The 22101-nt window shown below is 39.0% G+C and overlaps 1 protein-coding gene across 2 annotated transcripts in view; it reads left to right on the top strand.

The window, feature by feature from the left end:
* Positions 1-22101, top strand: part of NOTCH2 (notch receptor 2) — a 158110-nt gene that overhangs the window by 36937 nt on the left and 99072 nt on the right. For both annotated transcript variants that reach the window (NM_024408.4, NM_001200001.2), the window contains exon 2: positions 2739-2820. In NM_024408.4, the coding sequence (NP_077719.2) occupies positions 2739-2820 (82 nt within the window). The remainder of the gene's footprint in view (positions 1-2738; positions 2821-22101) is intronic.

The raw sequence follows: 22101 nt of genomic DNA, 5'->3' as shown, positions 1-22101 counted from the left end.
CCCAGGCTCCCTGCGGACTTAGTCAGAAATTGTGGGGGTCGAGTCTAACACTCTTTTTTAAAAAGCCCTCCAAGTGATTCCAATGCTTACTAAAGTTTGAGAACCGTGGCTCAGTAAATGCTAAAGGTTCAAGGTAGCATGATCCCACACATCAGCCAAGTGGCATTAATTATTAGCCTGGTAAGCCCACCTTCTTTTCAGTCACTGAGTTTGATTGGTTCACTAGGGCTAGGCTGTAAAGTTATTTGCTAGATTGATTGCTACATATTGACTTTGGGTTATTTGTATTTCTCTGAACCTGTCACTGTAATGATTTGTCAGGACACTTAATAGGAACAGGCCGTGATTTTTGCACCCATGGCATTCTGAGTCATGGGTGGCTGGGTCATTATGTACTCCAGGTTTCTTCAGGCACTGGGCATGCCATTCATGTACTTATAAGGAGGGAGCTGTCGCTGGTGGATCACAGGGAACCTTCAGGGACATTTAGTTCGCTCTCAGCTTGGTACAGGTAGGGAAATTGAGCCCCCATGAAGTTGTGCTTTGCTTGCAGTTAGGGGTACAGACAGGATTTCAGGTCTCCTGAGTCCCTCCACTGCACCAGGATTCCTGCAGGGGGACAGAGCTACAGCTTTTTCTGTGCCTACAGGACATTCCTTTCCTACTGTGAGGGTTTTATTTATTTATTATTTTATTTAAAGAAAAAAAGTAAATAGAAAAAACCCCGGAAGTTCTCACTGAAACTAATAAAAGTGTCTAAAGAGAATGAAAAAATCAGTTTGAGAACTTTGGTATGGAGGAAATAACCTGACATTAACTGTTTTAATTATAGTTGTTGCATTGGGCTTATCAGTGTGGGAAGAGGGAGCATTTGAGCCTTACAGGGAAGTGGGATATGGACAACAAGATGACCCTCTTCCTGAATTTGCCTGTTTGGGCCTGCAGCCTGGTGACTCTTTGTGTGATCCCAACAGCTGTCATAGAGATGGGTTGGACTTTTACTGAGACCTGGGTCCTAGGCCCAGCACTGCCACCAGCTAGTGGCGCAATGCCCCATAAAGAGGCCACTTATTCTCTCTGGCCTCTACTATTGGTAAATGGGTATAATAATATCCACGCTGCCAATCCTGAGAAATTTCAGGTAGTGGGAAGCAGTGTATCTTGGTGGTTAAGGGCAGAGTCTCTGGATTCAAATTCTGGCTTTCTAACTCACTGGCATGGCAGTAGGCAGGCCACTTATCCTCCCTGTTTTCTCACCTGAGAGTGGGTATAATGAAATTTACTTCTAAGGGTTGTTGTGAAGATTGAATTAGTTAGCTAATTTATGTAAAGTACTTAGGATAGTGCCTGGTATTTAGTAAGTTCTATGTGTTAGCCTATTATTATTATTACTATTACCATTTAAAAATATTATTTCAAGGATGGGATGCATTTTCTGTAAACATGTTCTCAAATGATTCTACTACTGGATACAATACTGGGCTTTTATGCAGTAATTGTTGTTGGAGGAGTTGTTCTGACATCCAGCTTGCACCTGGGCTACTGGTTTCGTGGCCAGGGATGGCCAGGCCTAGCGTCTCTCTGATCTTGCACAATTTATGCATAGAGTGGTGTGGTTAGAGGAAACTTGGAGAGGGGGAACTTCTCAGTTTTGCTTTCAGGTATTTATACATTAACTATCATAAGAGATGGACATCTTAATAACTTCCAAGAAAGAGTTCATGAGCTTCAATTTGATATTTATTGTTTGACTAGGTTTCTTTCTGTCTTACCTTTCCAGTTGTTAGGGTTCTTGATATGTATTTTGGTGATGAAAATTTCAACTCTAAAAGCTAAACAATCAAGATATTGTAATTATCCAGCAAGTGATTGGCAGATTTCGAGTAGACTTCTTCCATTCTTGGCTGAAATCAATGAAAATGTCTACTATTGCTGTTGTTTTTGTTCTTTTCTCTGAAAAGTCTGTTTTTGGGAGGGCCTCAGATGGTAAAGTGCCTTTTTATTGTCTCTTAAAGGGAATGGGGGAATCAACAGTTTGAGAATTTTTGTTTTATCTGTATGTATAAAATTGCCTTCTCCTTTTATTTCTTTTGATACTCTCTCTGCAGTCTCTATTCATGATCTACTCCCCATCTTTTTATGGGCCCCTTAAAGCTAGAGATTATGTTTATTCGTTTATTTATGTATTCCATTTCTCCTTTTTTCTGGATCCTAATTTTGTGCCTGGTGCATACTAGGCTCTCAATTTTAGTTTGTCGAATTACTGTTATTGCTGTTTCTGATTACTTCTTGAAGCGGTCTGTTTTAAAACTTCACCTGAAGGCTAAGTAATTCATCAGTATAATGGTGATCTATTATTTATCTAGCATTTTCCTAAACACTCATTGATGAATCCTTATAATACTCATCTGAAGTATCTAAATCCCAAGATGATGTGTCATGCCATAGATGGTATGGCTTTAATTTTTAATTGGGAGATGGAGATGTAACAGCTGGAGATACTAAAACACAGAGAAATAAGAGCATCATTCAAGACCACAAACGTGGTTATTGTTGGAAGATAGTTTTGGGATGGGCTTCTGTGCTAGAAGCCAGAACATAAAAAACTGATTAAAACTCTAAAAAGAAACCCAGATTAGGTGGGAATGAATGCTGATCTGGATTGGATTACACTTCTTTGGTGTCTGAGGGTTATGATTAGTGACTTACTTCTAATGTGCATTTGTTTTTATTTTTAGCATTGCAGTGTCGAGATGGCTATGAACCCTGTGTAAATGAAGGAATGTGTGTTACCTACCACAATGGCACAGGATACTGCAAGTAAGTTTTTCTCTTCATATATTTTCTTTTTGCGATAGAACACTGGACAAGATTTGATTCTACTCCTCTATTTTTAATGCTTCTGTGGAATGTTACTGGTTCTTGAGCTTTCCTGGTACAGATTTTGGTTGGGGGTGAGGATGGAAGGATGTGGATGCCAGATAATTGGCTAATAAGAACTTCTTACTATCTTACTGTTATCTTTCTCACTATGAAAAAGACTTTTCAGTGAGTGGCTAGTTAATGTATATGGGGTAGACCAGGCATGGTGGCTCATGCTGGTAATCCCAGCACTTCAGGAGGCTGTGTTGGGCGAATCACGAGGTCAGGAGTTCAAGATCAGCCTGGCCAACATAGTGAAACCCTATCTCTACTAAAAATACAAAAATTAGCCAGGTGTGGTGGCGCATGACTGGAGTCCCAGCTACTCGGGAGGCTGAGGCAGGAGAGTGACTTGAACCCAGGAGGCGGAGGTTGCAGTGAGCTGACACCACATCATTGCACTCTAGCCTGGGTGACAGAGCAAGACTCCATCTCAAAAAGAAATAAAAAAAAATATAAAAAAATATATATTAGATTCCCTTGTGTTTTTCAGATTAAGGCATACTCTTAGAGTCTCCCCTTAACATGTTACCTATTATCTTGTTTTTAAGTAAAACCAAATAGATATCAACTTTAATATTCGGCCCAGTATATGTGAATATTATATTCATATTTTTTTCTAGTGTAAAAAATCTAATTCTGAAAGTGAGACAGTGAGAGAGGAAGATGTGTGCATGTGTGTAGATTGAGGGGGAGCAGGGGCTTTGGGTGTGTATTATTATATGGGGATAAAAGAGTAAGGATGAAGGAAAATGTAGGCTAGTTCTTGGCTTAAGAGCATTTTTTTTTCCTTTTTCTCCAACCATCTACTCTAGCCAAGACGTTTTGTTTGTTTGAGGAAGGCTGTGAGATAATTTCATAATAGCTTTTCTAGGTTTCCTGCAAATAATTTTTTTTTCTTCTGCCTCAATTGAAAATTTTTAAGAGGAATATGTATCCATTCTTTTTATTTCAGGGAAGATGCTGGAGAAATAAAATTTGGTAATATGAAATTTCTCTTCTTTTCCTTCATTTTTGTGAGGAGTAGTTGTTCTTTGCTTTGGTGGAGGTACTTGCTTAGTAAGCATTTTAAGTGAGTTTATCCAACACATTTTTATTTCTTACCAGGAATGTAATTACAACTTTTTTCCAGTGAGATCTGTTCTGACACCAGGATTTAGTTTTTTAATGTTATAAACAAGATTTTTTTTTTCAAGTCAGAAATAATTTTCTTCACTAAAGTGAAAATATTTTAAGCTGTGATGACAGTAAAGCTTAACAATAGGTTGTTTGGATTGGAATAAAGATAACATTGGAAATAAAGGTTTTATGTAGCTTATTATGGGCTGCTCATTTAGTTTTTCTAGCTGGGGGAAAAAAAAACGTGGTGCATTCTCCTCTAAGAATGGAGATACAACTGGAGATAATAAGGGAGGGAACTTAATACCTTAGAGTAGGCCACTGAAATCTTGTTTAGTCTTTTTGTGGCATTTGGTGCCTTAGTTGCTTGCTTTATTCTGTTATGCAACTCTTGTGGTAGTTAACCCCATTGCATTATGGTCATTTGTTGATGTGTTTCTTTTGCTAGAATGTGAGGTCTTAGTCTTATGCATTTTTTGCATAGTTAATGCCTAGTACAGTGCCTGGTGTAGTTATTGTTCAGCAATGTGTTTCTTAAACTAAAAGGTGCTAAGTAGATACCATCATGCACATGTTTCTTATCTATTTATGTTAAATAAGAAGACACTGGTTCTCTCCTTTAAAAATTTCAGTGTGGCGATTCCTCAAGGATCTAGAACCAGAAATACCATTTGGCCCAGCAATCCCATTACTGAGTATATACCCAAAGGATTATAAATCATTCTACTATAAGGACACATGCACATGTGTGTTTACTGCAGCACTATTTACAGTAGGAAAGACTTGGAACCAACCCAAATGCCCAACGGTGATAGACTGGATAAAGAAAATGTGGCATGTATACATGATGGAACACTATACAGCCATAAAAAAGAATGAGTTCATGTCCTTTGCAGGGACATGGATGAAGCTGGAAGCCATCATTCTCAGCAAACTAACACAGGAACAGAAAACCAAACACGGCATGTTCTCACTCATAAGTGGGAGTTGAACAATGAGAACACATGGACAAAGGGAGGGGAACATCACACACTGGGGCCTGTCAGGGGGTGGGGGGAAAGGGGAGGGAGAGCATTAGGATGAATACCTAATGCACGTGGGGCTTAAAACCTGGATGACGGGTTGATAGGTGCAGCAAACCACCATGGCACATGTATACCTATGAAACAAACCTGCACATTCTGCACATGTATCCCAAAACTTAAAAGTAAAATTTAAAAAAAATTTATTTACTTCACATAGCATTCAGGGTGGTAATACCATACAGAGAGGCAAATTGGTTCTATTTGAAGATCATTCAACTTGGTGACTTATATATGGAGAATTTCAAATATGTTCTAAGTGTTCGCCTATATATTTTTGGTCTGACATGGGGAAAGAAGGTTTCTAGGGGAGACTAATCTCTGAGCACTTACCAGGAGAGGACACCTAAGGGTCACTGTTGGGAAGAAGTCCAATAGTTCTTTGTTGGACTGTTGGGCTGCTAGTCTCATACTCTCCAACCAAGGTTGGAGACCATCCTGGCTAACACGGTGAAATCCCATCTCTACTAAAAATGCAAAAAAATTAGCTGGGCGTGGTGGCACGCACCTGTAATCCCAGTTACTCGGGAGGCTGAGGCAGGAGAATGGCCTGAACCCAGGAGGCGGAGCTTGCAGTGAGCCAAGATTGCACCACTGCACTCCAGCCTGAGCGACAGAGCGAGACTGTGTCTCCAAAAAAAAAAAAAAAAAAGAAAATGGAGCTGCCTAAATTCTGTCCCTGGCTACTTGTTAATTGTTGATAGGATGGAATGCTTATGGATACAGTTCTGGGTATGTCCCTCAGATGTCTTTCCTGTTTTGAGGGAAACAAACTCCTTGAGAGAGAGTAAGAAAAAATTTGGTGAGGCCATCCTTTTGGGAGACCAAGATGAACAACAAAACTTGTATAAAGAGAGTGATTCCCTACCTCAGCAAAAGTAATATTAGCATATTTAGGAGTGGCAGGGTCAACATAAGTGGACAAAGAAAAAGCAAGAACAATATCAAGGCAGCCATGTCAATCATTCTACAGTGCTTTGCCAGCCTCCACAGAATTTTAAGCAAAATTTTATGCAAAAATAATGTGTACCTAGCAGAGCTTTCAGTGTATTTTCACCAACCTTACCTTTTTTTCTGTGGAGAAAGAAGATGATCTAGCTTGTTCAGTAAATATTATTTTCACAAAATAGAAAATAAATATTAAAACACTTAGAAGATTTATAAAAATTCTATCAGGCATGCAGGGCATGTGATTATCTTTTTATTCATGCGATTGCTTAGTGGATTAAGAAAAGAAAGTTGAAGCCAAATTCCTTTTACAGGGCCAGCGTAGGGGTGAGTGGTGAGTGGTGGGATGGGAACTGGTAGAAAGTGTTTTAAAATAGAAGGAATCTGACTATCTGTTTAGACAGCATAATGCTACTGATTCAGCTAAAATATAATGATTGTTTATAGAAATTATAAAAATCCTTGATAAGATCACATTGACAGATGAAGATAACTACTTTTGAAGATTAGTTTTGTACTCAGCTCCACTGTTTTTTCTCACTGTTAGGAGCCTAAGTACCCTATCAGTCTGTGATTAGATTTTGATGCCAGATTAGGAGAACGTGTATAATCTTGCATAAAACTCAATTATTGCTGTTAAATAACTACTGTCAAATCTTAATAAAGCTGTCTCACTACAGGGAGATAAGATATTTTATTCTTTCCCTTGTCCTACTGGGAGGTGTAAATATGTAATTAAATTTGATGTCATTAATCACTTTCAAGTTGTTTGCTTCAGACTTTCAAATATAAACCATTCTAAATCCCAATTTGATTAAAGATCATGGACAACTCAAGTTCACTAGGATTCTGGGGGTAGGTTAGGTTATGATTTGTATAATTGACAAAATATGTATTTTAAGGACATTTATTGTAGTTATTTAAAATCTTTGTCTGCTGGTTCTTAACATCTGGGTTGTCTATGGATGTGTTTCTGTTTCTATCAACTGCTCCTTCTTTGGACCATGGGTATGACTTCCCTTTACTTTACACATGTATGGTAGTTTTACATTACTTACTGGACATTGTGGGTGATAGATTTTAAAGTTTATCTCCCACTAAAGAATGTTGAATTTTGTCAAGATTGGCAGATCATCTTGATCCTATGGATGCTAGGTTTTAGGACACGTTAGGGTGGGCCTACTTCTGTTCTGCCCTTAGTCCGATGACACAAATCTTAGTCATGGGATAGGGTTCTTATTCCCAAGATGTGACCCTTCTAGGGGTTCAGTGGTAAGTGTGAGGGGCCTACCAAGCCCTGAGGTGTTCATTAAGCCCCTCTAAGGCAGAACTTGTCCTCCCAGCCCCAGGAGCCTTCTGCTCAGTCTTTTCAGCCGTCCAGCTCTTACTTTCTCTTGGGTTTCTGAATCTTATCTTGCTCATGCATAGTCAGGAATTATTTAAGGATTTGAGCAGAGTTGTATGCATACTTTGAAGCTACCCACTCTGTGGTTCTGTCTTTTCCAGGAATTTTTCTCCTCATATTCTAGCTGCTGTGACAGCTCCAGATACCTCTGACTCCTCAGTATCACAGGACTTCCATTTTCTGCTTGCACACTCTTCCTCTTCTGCTGCATGAACTGGGGTGTACCTTCACGATAAAAAAAAAAACAAAACTGTAAATGTGGGTTTCATATAGTTTGCTTTGCTTTTTCTGAGGCTTATATCCCTTCTAGTTTATGCCTGCTTTCAGTGATTCTCCAGTGCCTTTGATATTTTGTCCAGAGCAAGAGGGCTAGTCTGATATAAGTTACTCTGCAATTATTTTTAATGATGAAAATTGGAAATATAAAGGGGCCTTTCAGAATTTCATACATACCACTTGGTAAATATCTAACGTAGTGTTTGTAAAACAGCAGAAAGTCACTGTGAGTTGTATACATTCCTGTAGATGGGTGCTTGCATTTGAGAATGTCCACTTTTTGCTAAAGTGCTGATCTAAAAACTACACTTTAAGGTAAATTATTATAAATATAAAGTGTTATAAAATATAACTTTGTGTCACATTTTGTCTAAAACTTGTCTGCTAGCTGTAATAAACATTAAACATTAACAGCTAACAATTTTCCTTGCCAGGATTAGGCAGTCATGTTGGTGGTCCAGATTTCCTGAATCCATCCAAGAAAAACTAGAGCCATTGCCTTCTTTGTCTTCTTGGTAAATGTCTGTATAGTAAGTAGAGAGTAGAGACACTCATAATCCCTTAGAACTTAGCTTTTTATGGAGGATGCATTCGCAATGGTTCTGTTGTGGTGCTTCTCCCCCAAAAGGGCGTTTTCAGAAGTCATGGCTGACTCAGCATTTCCCCTTTTCCTTCACCTTCTTGTGAGTGCATTCAGGGAGGCACAGGGGCATTGTCAGATCAAAGAAATAGACAGGGAAAAATATCAACTGTTAAATTACTTTCTCTTTCTTCTCAGCTGAAACTGGTTCTGCCAGCCTAGTTCCTTCAAGTACGGTGCCTATTTAGCTGAACATTGTGTATATAGTTTTTCTGGAAAATGATAGCAGAAGCTTGGCCAGTTTTCCATAGTTCATTTATCTTTTTAACATAAAACAAAGAATGCTGTTTTCTTGGCTCATTAAATACCTCTCATAGAGTAATCTTTTCTTAAAATGTAATGTGTTCAGGTTTTATTAATTCAAGAGTTATTTATTGCATGCTATTTATGAGTACCACATATAACAGATAACTCAAGTCTGTGGTAGTAGTTGCAGTTAATCAATATTGTTATCATATTATTTCACACTTCTTTGGGAAGTCATAAAATAATTACCAGTTCATTAACTTGGGCTTCTTAGAGAGGTTCAGAGTAAAGCCAAGTATGAAAAAAACTGACTATAATGTGGCCTTCTGTACAGGGGCCGCCAGTGAATGGCAGGGCTGGGACCATGGTGAGGCAAGTAAGGCACAGGCCTCTCTTGTGAAATTTAAGAGAGTGCCAAAAAACTCACTAATCAAAATAATGTTTGTATGTAGTTGTTCAAAAAATCAAAATTAATGCAAAATAAGTTGAAAATTATCAAAATTTTAAATAAGGAGATAAGTACTACTGATTTTTTCTTTTGCCTTATGATCTAGTATGGTTCAGCCTGCACTGGTGAGTGGAGTAAGGGTCCTGGAAGATCCTTGACTGGTGACATGAAGAGGACATAGTTTTTTGTTGTTGTTTTTTTTTGAGACAGAGTCTCGCTCTGTGGCCCAGGCTGGAGTGCAGTGGCGCTTTCTTGGCTCACTGTAAGCTCCGCCTCCCGGGTTCTTGCCATTCTCCTGCCTCAGCCTCTCAAGTAGCCGGGACTACAAGCGCCCGCCACCACGCCCGGCTAATTTTTTGTATTTTTAGTAGAGACGGGGTTTCACTGTGTTAGCCAGGATGGTCTCTATCTCCTGACCTCATGATCTGCCCGCCTCGGCCTCCCAAAGTGCTGGGATTACAGGCGTGAGCCACCACACCCAGCTGAGGACATAGGTTTTTTTATGCCAGATAGACTTAAGTTTGAGTCCTGATTCCTATTAACAATTGGATCTTTGGCAAGTTAAAGTCTATAATGCTAGCTAACATTATTGCGTATTAGGGTCTGTTCTCAAGTAGTTTAACATGTATTTACTTTAGTCCCCATGTGAGAGAGAGACTATATGGAAGCTAAGAGAAGTTAAATAATTCACTCAAGATCCCATCACTCTGTAGCTAACCTGAGATATACTCGTGGAAAATGTACTGTCACCTTGAGTCTCAGTTTGCCTGTCAATAAAATGGGACAGAATTACCTGTTTTAAGTTTGTAGTTCAAATGGAACCTTCTGAAAAGGAAGTGTGGAACATTTGAAAGTATACAAAAAGGGGACTTTTCAGATCAGGAATATGATTAAAACACTGCTTTATGTAATTTCTAAATTTAAAGACAGTAGCATTAGGTAGGCCTGAGTACCTCATATCATTCTAGAACACTAAATCTGCATATAGTTACATGAGTGTACATGGGCCAGGTTTGGTGAATACTGCATTTCTGAGAAATGGCCTTTAACATGAAAGCTCAATGTAATAACTGTGGATGAAATAGAAGAAGAGGGCAGTGAAGGTGGGGATAGAGGATATTGTCTATTAAAGTGTGCTTCAGTAGAGAGAACTAATTTGAAACTTCTCCTTTCTTTTTACTAATGGAACAGGAGCAAGTCCAGACAGATTTATGCAGTTGTGAAATTGAGACAGGTTAAATTCAGTGATTTTTGATAAATGTTGTTGCCAGCACAAAAGTCACAAGTTGTTGAATATGGCACCTTACATTTGCATAGTGAGTTACAGATGCATATGAGTATGTCCTGTGAGGCTTTTCCTTGTATTAGGACTTGAGATCTGGACCCTTTAACAGTACCATTCCTAAGTGATTCTTATTAATACTTATGTCCTATTAAAATCCTTTATCAAATATGATGTTTCCCTAAGGGGTCTTTTGTAAAGGAAGTCTTGGTTACTAGCATCTCCATCTGTGGCCCAGGCTTGAGTGCAGTAGAGCAATCATGGATCACTGCAGCCTCCACCTCCTAGGCTCAAGCCATCCATCCTCCTGCCTCAGTCTCCCATTTTTAAAACTTTTTATAGAGACACGGTCTCACATGTTGCTCAGGCTGGTCTCGAATTCCTGGGCTCAAGTGATCCTCCCACTTCTGCCTCCCAAAGGGCTGGAATTACAGGCCTGAACCACTGTGCCTGGCCAGTTAGTAGCTTCTTAACACATAGCAACATAATTTCCATACTATTTTCAACTAATTTTTATTCTTTCAGTTGGGACCTTTATATATTTCAGTGTTCAGTGAAGAAGTAGGAGAATCTGGTTCTTAGGCTCTGCCTATATCCTTTTACCTGTCTTGGGTAACTGCCAAGAAATTAAATCAACAAATTTTGGCCTGCAGTCTGGCATTAATAGATGTGAATTTAGCTAGGTTTCTTTCAACACAGTCTCCAGGTCAATCGTAATCTTATGTGAAGTTTCTTATTCAGGCATGTCTCATTAGCACCATTAATTTCACACAGGAATTCTTTTTTTCTCCCTTTTTTTGTGACTAAGCAAAATGAGAAATATTTCTCTTTCAGGATATGGAGAGGCTTAATTAAATTCTTTAATTTTGTCTACATCTGCCCTTATGAATGATAGCAAAGGAATGGGGGATATCAGAATATGAGAAAAAGTAATCATCTAAAAATTTCCAAGCACTTTAAAATTTGTTAAGCTAGCATAAATATGTGGGTGTGATAGAGGTTTTCATTAGGCCTCCTCTCAACATACAGTAGTTAGGAATGAAGTTTAGTGTCTCTCCGTCCTCCTGTCATATGTGTGTATGCACACATGTGTGCACATGCGACTGTGTTATGCATTTTGTTTTCATATTTCTTTTAGTTGAGTTTTACCTTACAACCCAACGTAAGGTAAATTAAACTTTCTATTGGATTTCCGCACATTTTCTAGATCCTATTTATTCACTGTCAGTGACCTTCACTAGCACTTAGTCCTCTGTGTCCAAAAATGTATTGCCAATTCTTAGACTCCATCAGCCTTCTCCTATGAAAAAGTAATGCAGTTAATTTCTGCTCGAAATGCTCTTCTCCTAAACAGTCTTCTACTTGATCTTTATGAAAAGAGTTTTATGAAAGAAAAGTGAAAATAAAGACTAAGAAAGGCATTATTTAAGTGATGGGTGATATTATTCAGCGAACACATTCAACTAGAGCATTCTATCCAGTTTTTTGCCTTCACGTAAATATGAGGAGAAAGGTAGGTGTTAATAAGAAAATAATCTGATTAGGATTTATGTAGAATGGTAGCATTTAGACTATTAAATCTGTATAGATTCAGGTCATTTTCCTGCAGTCACTGTCTATAATCCTGTGTGCTGAACACTGAAAGTTAGATGGACTCTGAAGCACTATAGAATCCTCACTTTTCAAACAAAAGTTTAATTTTTATCACACTAGTATTTATTGAGCAGGCTACTATAACTGATCACTGTACTGGGTATTGTGAATACCCAGAAAAGCCCAAGAGGCCTGTGTTACCTGACTTCCTTATTCACAAGTATACGTACCCAGAGACTGTCTGACAGTGAATGCAGTTTCTCCTGCATAAGACATGGTGGCAGTCTTCTGAAGTCTTGCTGGGGAGATGAAGCATACAGAGATGTGTAAAATAAAACAGTTTGTAATATCCCAGTGTAGGGGCACAGATAATAACTATGGACACTCAGACAAAGGAACAAGTACTGTGGGACAAAAGAGTAAAATCAGAGGACTTTTGGTGCACTGCTTAGATCCTAAATCTTTGAATATTAGTGGTGCCTTAGAAGACGGATAGGTAGGAGAAGGGTGAGAGGAAGGGAGCTGAGGAGACTAGAAGGGACTGTTATTTCCTGGAATAATCATTACCAATTTCTTCATCACATTTTCTTAATGACACAGTTTCAAACGTTTTCTTCATCTTGATTGCTGTCTTCTGTGTATATGCTGGTTTGTGTGAGGTTTTACTAAACCAGTATGTGGATTAATCTAGTTTCACAGTGACAGGTAAGTGATTTAGAAAATCCTTCCTTTAGCACATGTTAACTTGAACGTTTGGAGGTAGAATGCCTAGAGTGAGGGTGAAGGAGAGGACCTGGGGACAGGAAGAGAGGGCAGCTGGGAGCAATTATGCTCCTTCCCTCAGACCTTTTTGGCCTTGACTCTTGATTCTTGTACTTCTACCAGACAGAGAGGCGGTAGGCTTGTGGCCATGTTTTGCGAGGAAAATCAGAATCTAAGAATCTCTAAGGCAAGAGCAAGAATGGATTGGGATAGGGAAAGTGATAGGAAAACAGAGGCACTAAGAAGAGGGTTGGTTTTCATGTACTGCATAGTTCATTCCCTTAGTTGAGAAATCAGGTATCTCAACCTCAGATATCTTCTGTCCAGCATATCGCTGGCCAGATCTGATTCATATGAGGGATCCAGAGTAAGGAAGCATCTGTTAGCCAAGTCTTTGGTTACCCCAAATTAGCTCAGGTCCTTTACTGCTTGTTTCCTCTGATTATATAGTACATATCCAAACCCTCAATTTTCCAGAATAAACTAGGTCTGCCTATTCTGTGTGGAAAACATTTGATGGTGGTTAAGATTCTCTTGCCTAGACGATGGTAGTGCCTTAGTCGTTTAACTGCCTGTCACTTTAAGATTTTGAAATACTGGTTCTCGTTGTGTAAGCCAGACACATCTTGAGAATATTTTACGGGGCAACTTGCCCTTTCTGAAACCTCAGTCATCCTGAAAAGTAACTCTGTACCTCCTTGACTTTAATTTTTCTGTCTTAATTCTATTTGTATACAATGTTTGTGGTGTCTGATTCTCTGTCTCGTATTGCTGAAACTCATGGCCTTGAATTTCTGGGTCACTCTTAAAAAATAGACATAACTTGATTACTAATGAAAAAGTGACTCATTTTCTTCCAGGCAAAGGCTGACACTGACTGTCACAGTTTGTGACAGAAGCAAACTCTCTAATTAGGAGACATCACCTATTCTTTTCTAAATTTTATAAGAATTGATGATAGCATCATGAGATGGGAAGTGAGTAAGATAAGCGTTTATGCTTGTAGAGAGGATGCATAAAAATGAAATCTGGATAAAGTTCTATCTGAATTTACCATTTTAAGTGGTTGATTCCCTGTGAGCTTAAATTTAGTGCTTCTCTTCCCAGACCGTTGTCTTACATACACACTTCAGTCAGTTTTAGCCTTGTATAACTAATCAGCAGGTCAGATTCCATAGAGGCTGAAATACCTACCACCATTCTATGCTCAAGAAAACAGGCTCTCATGTTGGCCAGTTGTTTGGGATAGAAGATGGTTAGACCTTTCTATCCCTTTTAAACACAAGATTCTTTTTCATTCCCCTTATCTTATTTAAATATATTGTTCCTTCTGTTTGGTTGTTCTTTGCTTTCTTATGCATCTGTGAGGGGCTAGCTGAAAGTGTGAGTTGTGGAACAATTCATTTACATAAGTGTATATTGAATTATCTGTGCACCTAGAGGGTGATGGGCACTGTGAGGGATATTAAAAAAGAGACACAGTACAGTTCTTACCCTAGGATCCCCTGCTTGGAGTGGGACAGTGGTCAAGACATATACAACCACAAACACCCAAACATTAACATCAGCAAGCATCATTACATCCTTGGGTGGTATTGCCAAGGGACTTCAAAGGCCAAGATTATAGAGTCATCACACTTAGGAGGTCAAAGGGACTTTGGAAAGCACCTTTGTCACTCATTTTGTTTTATAAGTGAGGCGGCTGAGGTGTAATACAGCTAAGCGAATTAGCCTTTATTACATAACTCATTAGAATGTAGACTGGGACTAAGAGCTGTTTCTCCAGATCCCATTAGGCAATCTAAAGATTCTGCACTATTTCTTTTTCATTTTTGGTATCCAAATAGGTACAGTTGTTTTTGATCTAGGAAAATCCTTTTAGACTAAACAGTAAGCTTTTTAAATTACTCTGCTTTTAGATATTTTTTGGACTTCAGAACTTTGAAGGTGGTCATCCACCAACATTGGGGAATGGAAAGAAGGCTCCAACACTTTTCTTTCTAGAGATCTTCTTTAATTTTCAATGGCAGTCACTACAGAATCTAGCAGTTCATGCTATTGAGGCCACTTTGTAGGATTTTTTTTTTTCTTAGTCAGGGCTCCAGGTCCCTGGTGGTTTATGTAGTCAGTCTTTTATCAACAACCGATGAAAGACTAATAAAAGTGCAAGAGGGAATGAGGACTGTGTGTGTGTATGTCTGCACATGCACACATGCCTCTCTGTGTGTGTTGGTTAACTTCATATTTGGTAGGTGGGAGGGAAGGTGATTAAAAAATAATCTACTTTGCATGGAGTTGGCCCAATTTGACTGATATAGGGGTGAGTGGGGGTTAAGAAGTAGTCTATATATCAGGAATCTTAATTAGTTTTGAAAATCCTTTAGGTAAATAGCTCAACCCAGTTGTTCCCAAACTTCAAGTGTATTTATAGGGTCTTTTTAAGGGGTAAAGATTCCACAGAGCCCTTCATTTTGACCTTGTGCTTCTGCACTGAATAGTTGAATGCCTTCTATATGCCAGTCATTGTGTTAGGCACTGGGAGTATGAGAATTAATAATTTTAGTCTGTTGACAGATAATCATAATAAGGGCTAATGAGTAACACAGGCTCAGGGTTATAAGAACAGAGGGGGTATCAAGGCTGTTTTTCACAGGAAATAACATTTAAGTTGAGACTTAATGAAATTTTAGGGCTTAGCCATGAGAAAGTGGGGAAAAGCATTTTGGGCTGACTGAACAGCGTGTACAGAGGTCTGGAAGTGAGAAGTAGTGTACTATAGCATTTTCTAGGAGCTGAAAGGCGTTTAGCAAGAGTATAGTGCATAAAGGAGAGAGCTTGAGATGAAACAATTTCTCAGTGTGTTGTTTGAATACAATGTATACTGTCAAAATCTAAGAATTCAAGAATCATTTAATATATCTTTATGTTTTACTAGTCATAAAAGCATATACATATATTTAAATATGGACAAGATACTGTTTAGTAGTTTAGAAAGTGATTTATAAGGATTGCAATCCCTTGCAATAACTCCACAGCCCATACCTTGGGAACAACTGAGCTAACTCATTCAGTTTTGTCCATTACATCGAAGGGTGTTTTTTGTAAACTCATATGTCTAGAATGTGTTTGCCATGTTTTAATCACAAGTAGATATTTTCTCAGGGTCCAGTGCAGTGAAGTATGGTAAGATCCTGATTGTGTTCTGGAACACAGAGGAAAGACCACCTTCTGTTATAGCAACAACACAAGTCTTTTAACACTGTGTGCCCCTTCCCAATCTTTCAAGTGATGATTGAAGAGACTAGGTGCTCAGCTCAGCCTTTGAGTTCTGATAAATGAGCCCAGACTGTAAACTGGAAGATAAGGATGTTTGTAAAGTTCTTGTATAAATAAAGCATGGTTTCTCATTGCAGTGGTTACTGATTTCATAGTCTGAGTGAAGATGAATGATGCTGTGAATCAACAGCTTTAAAGTCCGTATCACTTCAGCTTCTTTTTGGTTTAGGTTTCTTAAAATCAGTGTGTATTTAATGCTTTATTCAGATGAGGGGGTGAAAAACCTAACACATGTAAACTAAGTGAGGTGGGGTTTCAGAGATAATTCCCAGCCTCACAATTCCTCGTGAAGTTCTTTTCCTGTGGGAAACTTTTAATTTGGAAGCATGCAACCTAATGTGGGAACCAAGATTAACATTTTCTGAAATACTTCTACAAGAAAAGCAGAAATGGTCTGTCCAGGAAGCTGAATTTACATAGTAGAAAAATGAGCTGCCCTGCAGTATTTGGTAGTCTTTGTGTATTAGTTGTGATAAAAGTGTGTATGTGTGTGTGTACGTGTGTGAGAGTGAGAGATTGTATACTTGTCTTTGTTTCCTTCACATACAACTAGTAAGGCCCTAGAAAAACTACACTAGAAAGTGTGTTTTACCACAAGCGTCCCAGTTCTGGACACCAATCTATACACAAATACTTTTTTTTAAAGTTCTTTTTGTTTTTCCTTCTTGCTGAGTAAGCTATAGTATTTCCTTTTTTTCTTTCTTTTTTTTTTGAGAGAAGGGGGGGTTGAGAGTAGAGTGGGAATGGCAAGAAGTAGTATGACAGAGCTTCTTCTCTTTTTTTCCCCTCTTTACCAGGAAGTTAACTAGAAGTCCTCATGCATGTTTTTAAAACAAAGTTGGTAATTAGCATAACCTAGTTAGTTACCTTTACACAGAGTGACAGAATTAAAAAGTTGACAAGCCCATCAGACCTCAGCCAGGAGGTACTGAAAGGAGGGAGACCAGTGAGTTTAGACCAATAGGTGGGTTAGGCCTCCTGAATGCCAGCCTAGAAGTTTAGACTTGATTCTATAGGCTCTGGGGTACCTACAAGTTTGTAGTCGGAGCCTTGGGAATTGAATGTTACATAGGAACTTTCACTGGTTCCAGCTAGCCTTGGCTGTTAGCAATTATTTTTATCTACTTTAACAGGGGGGACAGAGTAGGGGGGCAGGAAACTAAGCTGGCATTATGGTCACAGGAAAGAACAGACTGATTTGGAGCCTTTCAAACTGCAGACCTTTGTTACTGACCGATGCTTAATTTGGTTTCTGGGTTTTGTTAGTTTTTTCCCCTGCCCTTACCTCATTTACCTTAACGACAGCTCCCCCCTCTAGAGCTCAGCTAGGGCAGGCTGCCACTGCGGATTGGGGGGCCAAGAGGCCCAGCGCAAGAAGAAAGTGGGTTGAAAGCAGAGTTCTGTTCAAAGAATTTTCTGCTGGAAACTAGCCCAGAGGGAGTAAAGAGGAGCTTTAATGAGGAGCAGCTGCAGTGCCGACGCAACCCACATGAGACTTTTTTTCCCCTTCGTTCCACATTCTGTATAGTTTTTTTAAAAATCATGATTTTGAAATAGCTGTTTTGTAAAGCATGCCTCTCTTTTTCTTCTTGTATGTGGTGGGATTTTGCTTTGTTGTTGTTGTTGTTTTTTTTTGAATGGCCAAATCCTCGTTTTTAAAAAAAAAAAAAAAAAAGCTAAAGACAGAGCTGCAGCAAAGCCCTGGATGCAATTTGGCCTCACCCTGCTGATACAGAACATTCGGTGGAGAAAACAAGGGGAGAGAACACTGGCTTTTATTTGGAAAAGGGGCTTATTTCCTGCTCAGACTTCAGTCATCTTGGAGCTGACACAAGCTGCTACACTGTTTTAAGCTTTTCTGTAGACGAGTGGCTATTCACTTAGGAAACGTGAAAGAACAAATTTTTCTGTCCTGTATTACTAGGGAGACTGATCCTGAACTGCAGCCATTGCCAGATAGATTGGAATTGCTATTCAGATCCCAGCTTCGTTGAAATCTGTAAAGTGGCTACATGTAAACTAATCCAGGCTGCTAGTGAGATGTGAGGGTTGGGGTCTGGTTTTCATCTGCTTAAGTGAGAGGAAACTGTAGGGGTATCCTTCAAATGGAATGTTTTCTAGTTCCATTAGGAGGAATCCCTTGTTTTTCTCTGTTTTCTTCCTTCCTTTGCTTTTCTACATCCAACCCCATGCGTATGTTTGAACAGTAACAATGGAAATGTGGACCTCTCAATGTCAGAAATGACACTTTTTTTTTTTTGAGATGGGGTTCTCACCATGTTGCCCGTGTTGTCTAGGCAGGTCTCGAACTTCTGCTCTAGCAATCTGCTTGCCTTGGCCTCCCACAGTGCTGGGATTACAGGTGTGAGCCACTGTGCCCAGCTGAGACTTTTAAAGAAAAAGTCATAAATACATCTTTATGGACCTGGTAAGTATTCAGATTAGTTTATGGAGTTTAAAATGGAAAAATGCTCCCCAAACCTTTCTCTGTATTCACAACCTCATCTGTGAAGTATGTTCTTTCAGAGTTCAATGCTAGAGAAGAGAGAGTAAGTAAAAGTCACTGAGAGACATTGAAGAGACAGTTATGAAAATAATTAATAAACTCCCTACAGGAGGAAAACATTCATATAGTTTTGCGGATGAAAGGCATCTGTTAGATTTTTGTGGTTATTTTTTAGAATATACACCTTTAGTTCAAGTGGTAGACTATTTTCCAAAATGTGTGCTGGGTAGCTTAATGGAATTATAGATATGTAAGGGTTGTTGGGTGTTTAGCCATGTTTTCACTCTCTAACCAAATTCAACTTTAGCCATCTCAAGAAGACAGCTATTTAAGCCCTTGTTTTCAAGCAGAGAACCTTACTTTCCACCAAGACTAACAGAGTATATTTTCTCCTTATACCACAGTTGAACAGGGATTTGCAAGTTGAAAGATCTCCTGCCTTAGGAAACAAGGGTCTGTTATTTCTGACTGTCTTACCTATTACTCCCCTTTCTTCCCATGTCCATAATGCTGCTTAGCTTCCTGGGGTGTGAAGGATAATTCTGTACCTCAGGATGACTATTAGGTTGATTTGGCCTGTTATTCTACCAGACAGATCACAGAGTAGAGATGGATTTTGTGGAACATTTGGATTGAGAGACTGACTTTATCCATCACATGAAATTTAGCCTGCTTTGGAACCAGCTGCTTAGTGGGGTTTAGGTACTCAGGTATTCAGGGAACCTACACCAAGGGTTCAAGACAGGCTCTTCCCCACAAAAACTATCTAGATGGGAGTTTGAGAAAGGTACAGCAAAGACATAACAGTGGCTTAAATAAAGAAGAACCATACCAGTGGAGACAATGTAGTGCATGACATGGCACTACATCTGCTGTTGGAAGGATCAGAGATAGGTGGGATGATTTGTAGAAGGCTTACTATAGGACAGGTTTACAGCAGATTTTTGAAAAAAGGGTGGAAGAAAGGAACCTAAGTTGGAGATATACCAGAAGGGAAGCATGATGTTTCTCACTGGAAATTAAAAAGATTTTAATATAGGGGACAGTAAACAAGATTGTGGAAATAATATGGAGTGTTCGAGTTATGGATTACTAAAGAGTAAGATGGTTAGATGATTGGAATGGGACAGACAGGCAGATCAGAGATTGTAAAGAACTTGGATTTGAAAGGCTTGGTATTAATACTGTTGCTAGTTTCTGAGCAGAAGAATGACATGAAAATTATGCTTAGGAAAGATTATTCTTTTAGTCATATGCTTAGGTTCAGCAAGGAATTTCCAGACTGTCCTTAGGGAGAGGAGAGGTATGGATAGGATGCTGGTCCATTTAGGATGTTAGAGCTGATTGAATAGGTGCTAGTCTTGGGGCAAGACTTAGTCATACACTTTCAGTTAAGTACTATTTCATTGCAAGGTCTAGGTGAAGATAGGGATATATTTGTAAAACTGGGGAAATTGCTAGATTCACAGATAACCAACTTTGGGCAAATCAGTTAGCTTTGGTGTCCTTTTCAGTGCTATAGGGGTTCAGACCATTTGGTTTCTGAGATCACTGCTGAAATTCTGTGATTGTATGAGTATAATGTAAAAGTTGTCTCAATCAAGGAAACTTGGAGTAAAGACTCAATATGATGGATTTAAAAGGAATGAATGACAGTTCCAATTATTGGGTTCAAAAAACATGTGCTACAAGTATAAGATGAGAAAAATAGGGTACACTAGTAGTTCATGTGAAATAAGGCTCTGAATATTTTAGCTGAGTGTGTATTCCATAGCACATAGTAGTATTTTGTGGCTTCTAAAAAAGTACACATATCCATTGGGTATGAGTCGGAGCATTATTCTTTCTTGAACTGCGCTCTCACGATGCCTCCTCAGTTTAAGAACTTACTCTGAAATAGTAAAAGCATAGTGTCCAGATCAGGAGGTCATGGTTCAGCTCTGTGCTGCACTGGTAAGAACATGTGTTAAGCCTTTTTCCATTTTGAGCCTCACTTTTTAAAGAGGTTTTTGATGAACTGGAGTCATCCAGTGATGGGGAGGCAGGATAGCCTAGTGTTGAAGCACACGCACTCTAGAGTCTACTTGGGTTTGAATCCTGCCTCTTCCATCTACTAGCTGTGAATTTTTTTTTTTTTTTTTTTTTGAGAGGGAGTCTCGCTCTGTCGCCCAGGCTGGAGTGCAGTGGCGCGATCTTGGCTCACTGCAACCTCCAACTTCTGGGTTCATGCCATTCTCCTGCCTCAGCCTCCCGAGTAGCTGGGACTACAGGCGCCCGCCACCACGCCTGGCTAATTTTTTATATTTTTAGTAGAGACAGGGTTTCACTGTGTTAGCCAGGATGGTCTCGATCTCCTGACCTGGTGATCTGCCTGCCTCGGTCTCCCAAAGTGCTGAGATTACAGGTGTGAGCCACCGCGCCCGGCCTAGCTGTAAAATCTTAATCTTTCTAAGCTTCGAGTTCCTCATATATAAAATGGAGATTATAATATAGCACTGGAGCGAGTAATACAAGAGACAATAGCTATCAAATGCTTAGCAAATATACAATACATAGTTAAGTACTTAGAAAATATGTTTTCAGTTACTTCGGGTATATACCTGGGAAGGGAGGCAGAAAATTTTGGTCATTCTGATTATTATGACTACTATTAAGCATAGAAGCACCACTAAAAAGGTGAAGAAACCTGGAAATAACCCTATACTGAGGAATACGCCAAACCATTGAATCCTGGAAAAAAGAAAACAAAAGGCCCACATAACTGTCTTCAGATTCTTGAAGGGCTACGTGTAAGAGAAGCAGAAGGCTTGTTCTTTTTTGTTCTAGAGGGTAGAGATAACCTGGAAATTGTAGAGAGACAAAGTTTGTTCTTTTCAAAGTTAAGACATAATTTATGTATCATAAAATTTACCCTTTTAAAGTGTTTAATTTAGTAGACTTTAGTATTTCCAGAGTTATGAGACCACCACCATTATCTAATTTCGAAACATTTTTATCACCCTGAAAGAAATTCTCTACTGCTTAGTAGTCACTGTCTATTTCCCTTTCTTTACAGCTCCTGGCAACACTAATCTACTTTCTATCTCTACGGTTTTGCATATTCTGGACATTTCATATAAATGGAATTATATAATATGTGGCCTTTTGTGTGTGGCTTCTTTCACTTAGCATGTTTTCAAGGTTCATGCATGTTGTAGCATGTATCAGAATGTCATTCCTTTTCATGGCCACATATTTCATTTATGGATATACCACATTTTATTTATCTGTTCATCAGCTTATAGGCATTTGGGTTGTTTCTACTTTTTAGCTATTATGAATAATGCTGCTATGAACATTTTTATTATCTGGGCATATGTTTTCAGTTATCTCGGGTATATACCTAGGAAGGGAGGCAGAATTTGAAGAATTAAGAAAGAAAGAGCTTTCTCACAGTGGGATCCACCCACATTGAAGACTGTTCTTTTGTTGAAGTAGTCAGCCAGTAATTTCACTTAACAAATGCATAGTGTTTACTATGTGCTGGATAGTGTTCT

The sequence above is a fragment of the Homo sapiens genome, chromosome 1 (assembly GCF_000001405.40).
Source record: "Homo sapiens chromosome 1, GRCh38.p14 Primary Assembly".
Classification (NCBI taxonomy): Eukaryota; Metazoa; Chordata; class Mammalia; order Primates; family Hominidae; genus Homo; species Homo sapiens.
This window is presented reverse-complemented; position numbering and strand designations above follow the sequence as displayed.